The 5361-nt window shown below is 50.7% G+C and overlaps 1 annotated feature.

Moving 5' to 3' along the window:
• Positions 4633-5196: an enhancer, noted in NCBI's record as "H3K4me1 hESC enhancer chr19:49198499-49199062 (GRCh37/hg19 assembly coordinates)". NCBI's record gives its function as "activates a minimal SCP1, AML or CMV promoter by ChIP-STARR-seq in primed H9 embryonic stem cells {active_cell/tissue: H9 hESC(primed)}" and the evidence as "EXISTENCE:reporter gene assay evidence [ECO:0000049][PMID:30033119]".

The raw sequence follows: 5361 nt of genomic DNA on the forward strand, positions 1-5361 counted from the left end.
GAACTCCTGACCTCAGGTGATCCGCCTGCCTCGGCCTCCCAAAGTGCTGGGATTACAGGCATGAGCCACCGTGCCAGGCCTTTAAAAACATTTTTTTTGAGACCGAGTCTTGCCCTGTCACCCAGGCTGGAGTGCAGTGGTGCGATCTCAGCTCACTGCAACCTCTGCCTCCTGGGCTCAAGTGATTCTCATTCCTCAGCCTTCTGAATAGATGGGATTACAGATGTGCACCACCATGCCCAGCTAATTTTTGCATTTTTTGTAGGCACAGGGTTTTACTATGTTGCCCAGGCTGCTCTCGAACTTCAGCCCTCACATGATTCACCTGCCTCGGCCTCCCAAAGTGCTGTGATTATAGGCGTGAGCCACCTCACCCCGCCCGTCCAGAAAGAGTAAATTTCTTTCTTTTTTCTTTTTCTTTTTTTTTTTTTTTTTTTGAGACAAGTCTCGCTCTGTAGCCCAGGCTGGAGTGCAAGTGGCTCGATCTTGGCTCACTGCAAGCTCTACCTCCCGGGTTCACACCATTCTTCTGCCTAAGCCTCCTGAGTAGGTGGGACTACAGGCGCCCACCACCACGCCTGGCTACTTTTTGTAGTTTTAGTAGAGACGGGGTTTCACCATGTTAGCCAGGATGGTCTCGATCTCCTGACTTCATAATCTGCCCACCTCGGCCTCCCAAAGTGCTGGGATTACAGGCATGAGCCACTGTGCCCGGCCTACAATTTTTTTTCTTTTTGAGACGGAGTCTCGCTCTGTCGCCCAGGCTGGAGTGCAGTGGCGTGATCTCAGCTCACTGAAAGCTCTGCCTCCCGGGTTCACGCCATTCTCCTGCCTCAGCCTCCCGAGTAGCTGGGACTACAGGTGCCCGCCACCATGCCCAGCTAATTTAAAAAAATTTTTTTTAAATTTTTAGTAGAGATGGGGGTTTCACCATGTTAGCCACGACGGTCTCGATCTCTTGACCTCATGATCCGCCCACCTCAGCCTCCCAAAGTGCTGGGTGGGATTATAGGCGTGAGCCACCGTGCCCGGCCTTTTTTTCGTTTTGTTTTTTGAGATGGAGTCTCACCCTGTCACCCAGGCTGGAGTGCAATGGCACGATATTGGCTCAGTGCAACCTCTGCCTCCCAGGTTCAAGCAATTCTGCTTCAGCCTCCCGAGTAGCTGGGATTACAGGCACAGCCACCATGCCCGGCTAATTTTTTGTATCTAGTAGAGACAGGATTTCACCAGGGTTGGCCAGGCTGTTCTCAAACTCCTGACCTCATGATCAGCCCGCCACCCTCTCAAAGTGCTGGGATTACAGGTGTGAGCCACTGCACCTAATCTAATCTTTTATAACTGTCAATCTAATCTTATAACTGTATGTTAGCCTTTGTATGCAAAATGCTGTCATTCTGCTCACGATCTCCATTTTTTGTTGTTGTTGTTGTTGGTTTTTTGTTTGTTTTGTTTGTTTGTTTGTTTTAGACAGAGTCTTGCTCTTTTGCCCAGGCTGGAGTGCAGTGGTGCGATCTCGGAACACTGAAACCTCCACCCCACCCCGCCTCTGCCTCCCAGGTTCAAGCAATTCTTCTGCCTCAGCCTCCCAGGTAGCTGAGATTACAGGTGCTCACCACCACACAGCCAGCTAATTTTTGTATTTTTTTTTTTTTAGTAGAGACAGGGCTTCACTATGTTGACCAGGCTGGTCTCAAACTCGTGACCTCAAACGATCTACCTGCCTTGGCCTCCCAAAGTGCTGGGATTACAGGCATTAGCCACTGCGTTTGACCTCTCCATTTTTACCTGTATAAATGAGTTCCACTTTTCCCCATACTGGAAGCACTGATCACCATTCTTCGGTGTCCTTGTGTCCCTGGACAGCCACCCTCACACACTTGTGTTTAAAAAAACTTTTCTTATTTTTTTCTTGAGATGGAGTCTCGTTCTGTCACCCAGGCTGGAGTGCAGTGGCGTGATCTCAGCTCACTGCAACCTCCACCTCCCAGGTTCAAGCAATTCTCATGCCTCAGCTTCCCGAGTAGCTGGGACTACAGGTGTGCACCACCACACCCAGGTAATTTTTGTATTTTTAGTAGAGACTGGGTTACAGCATGTTAGCCAGGCTGGTCTCGAACTCCCGGTCTCAAGCAATCTGCCTGCCTCAGCTTCCCAAAGTGCTGAGATTACAGGCGTGAACAACTGTGCCCAGATTTATTTTTTAATTTTTCAGAGGCAGGGTCTTTCTCTGTCACTCAGGCTGGAGTGCAGCGTCAGGATCATAGCTGACGCTGGACCTCCTGGGCTCCTCTTGCCTCAGCCTCTCAAGTAGCTGGGACTACAGACATGTGCCACCATGTCTGGCTAATTTTCTTTATTTTTTGTAGAGAGACAAGGTCTTGCTATGTTGCCCAGGCTGGTCTTTAACTTCTGGCTTCAAGCTATGCTCCTGCCTCAGCCTCCTGAGTAGCTGAGATTACAGGTGCATGCCTCCATGCCTGGCCACCACGGCCAATTTCAAGCTACCAATATGAGATCATTGAACATGCAATTGGAAAGAAATGCACAGTATTACATTGTTCTATAGCAAGCCTATTACACAGACATAATAAATGTAAATAGGCCAGGCAAGATGGTTCATACCTGTAATCCCAGCACTTTGGGAGGCTGAGGCAGGAGGATCGCTTTGAGCTCAGGAGTTCGAGGCCAGCCTGGGTAACATAGTGAGACCCCATCTCTACAAAAAAACACAAAATTAACTGAGTGTGGTGACGGGCACCTGTAGTCCCAGCTACTCAGGAGGCCAAGGCAGGAGACTCATTTGAGCCCAGGAGGCGGAGGTTGCAGTGAGCACATACATTGATTGGCACACAGATTGGCAGATACTAACATACAGTGTGTTTTTTTCTCCAGAGAACTGGCTGGTAAGTGTTTACCATAGTAAGAAGACTTACTATAGAACAATGTATTACTGTGCGTTTCTTTCCAATTCCATGTTCAATGATCTCTTATTGGTAGCTTGAAATTGGCCGTGGTGGCCAAGCATGGGGGCGTGCACCAGTAAGGGAAAGCTGAAATGGAAAACAGAGGGTTTAGGGCAACAGTCCTGAATTCCGGAGTGCTGTCCCCCTGGGGGAGTTATGGGAATCTGTGGGGGTTGTTTTTAGTTGTCACAGTGGAGGTCCTAGGATGCTACCACAGCGTTTACGCGGCTGGGGTCAGCGACAATAAAAGTTACGCAATGAAGGTTTGTCCTGCATTCTCAGGACTTTGTTTTATTTTTGAGACAGAGTCTTGCTCTGTCACCCAGGCTGGAGTGCAGTGGTACCATCTCGGCTCACTGCAACCTCTGCCTCCCAGGTTCAAGGAATTCTCCTCCCCTAGCCTCCTGAGTAGCTGGGATTACAGGCGTGCACCACCATGCCCAGCTAATTTTGTATTTTTAGTAGAGATGGAGTTTCACTAAAAAAAAATGTTGGCTAGGCTGGTCTCAAACTCCTGACCTCAGGTGATCCTCCTGCCTCGGCCTCCCAAAGTGCTGGGATTGCAGGCATGAGCCACTGCGCCCAGGTCATTCCCATGACTTTGGAACATCTGTGGGACATTCATGGAGTTGGAAAGTCTAAGCCTCTGAGCCCCAAATCTGTTTTGCGTTTTTTTTTTTTTTTTTTTTTTGAGAGGGAGTCTTGCTCTGTCGCCCAGGCTGGAGTGCAGTGGTGTGACCTCGGCTCACTGCAAGCTCCGCCCCCGGGGTTCACGCCATTCTCCTGCCTCAGCCTCCCAAGTAGCTGGGACTACAGGCACCCACCACCACGCCCGGCTAATTTTTTTTTTATATATATTTTTAGTAGAGACGGGGTTTCACTGTATTAGCCAGGATGGTCTCAATCTCCTGACCTCGTGATCCGCCCGACTCAGCCTCCCAAAGTGCTGGGATTACAGGCGTGAGCCACCACACCTGGCCTGTTTTGCATATTTTATGACAGCTCACCTCCCCACTTCCCCGCCCCACCCTGTTTCTTTTTTCCTTGTCGCTGAATCACAGGGAAACAGGTCGTTTGTCCTGTGGACGGGCTCACATTCTGGACTGGGCTGATTGCTGCCTCATGGTGTCGTTTCACTGGGAACTTTGTCCTCCTGTTTTCTGCAAACTGGTGGTTAGAGTGGGAAGCTTGATCTGATTTTTTTGTTTGTTTGTTTGAAGGGAGCTCCGTAGCTGGTAGGTAGCCTCCTGCTGCTTAGCTGAAGCTGGGGAGTGGCTGCTGGTTTCTCTTTCCTCCTGTTAGGACTGCTGGGAGCTCTGGTGGTGCCTGCCTCTTCTCTCAGTAAAATTCCTCATCCATCTTTTTTTTTTTTGAGACAGAGTTTTGCTCTTGTTTCCCAGGCTGGAGTGCAATGGTGTAATCTCAGTTTACTGCAACCTCCGCCTCCCAAGTTCAAGCGATTCTCCTGCCTCAGCCTCCCAAGTAGCTGGGATTACAGGTGCATGCCACCACGCCCCACTGATTTTTGCATTTTTAGTAGAGACAGGGTTTCACCATGTTGGCCAGACTGGTCTCAAACTCCTGACCTCAGGTGATCCACCTGCCTCGGCCTCCCAAAGTGCTGGGATTACAGGCATGAGCCACTGTGCTGGGCCATGGCTAATTTCTGTATTCTTATAAGGACGGGGTTTCACCTTGTTGGCCAGGCTGGTCTCTGACTCCTGACCTCAGTTGATCCGCCTGCCTCGGCCTCCCAAAGTGCTAGAATTACAGGTGTGAGTCACCACACCGGGCCCATTTGTATTTAAAAATTTTTTTGAAATAGGCAGGGCGAGGTGGCTCACGTCTGTAATCCCAGCACTTTGGGAAGCTGAGGCAGGAGAATCCCTTGAACTTGTGAGGCGGCGGTTGCAGTGAGCTGAGATCACGCCATTGCACTCCAGCCTGGGCAACAAGAGCAAAACTCTCTCAAAAAGTAATACTACTAATAATTAATTAATAAATAAATATAAGACTCTGAGGGGACTCAGAGTCAGCGAGAGCCTGGCCTAGCAGGACTCTGTCCCCCGCCTCCATGCTGCCTTCCTGGAGGCCTTCCTGGCTGCCTGGAGGAGCGGAGCAGAGTGGGGGCCCCTTTCTGTTGGGGCATCACAACAGTTCCCCAAGGAAGACCCTCGGGGACCCGGATGGGGGATGCGACCTTGTCCTGCCTCTCTCCCCCACCCTTATGGCCAGGCTTGGGGTGCCTGGTGCAGGTGGAGGAGCTAAGGGTAGATAACAAGATGGACTTTGTGGCCGGCAATGGGGAGGGAGGAGGGGCTACGGGCTCACCTCCCTCCCGCAGCCCAGCCACACCTGCTCTGGAAAGCCCTGTAGCTCCTGGGCGGGGTTTGCC

Source organism: Homo sapiens, chromosome 19 (genome assembly GCF_000001405.40).
Source record: "Homo sapiens chromosome 19, GRCh38.p14 Primary Assembly".
Lineage (NCBI taxonomy): Eukaryota > Metazoa > Chordata > Mammalia > Primates > Hominidae > Homo > Homo sapiens.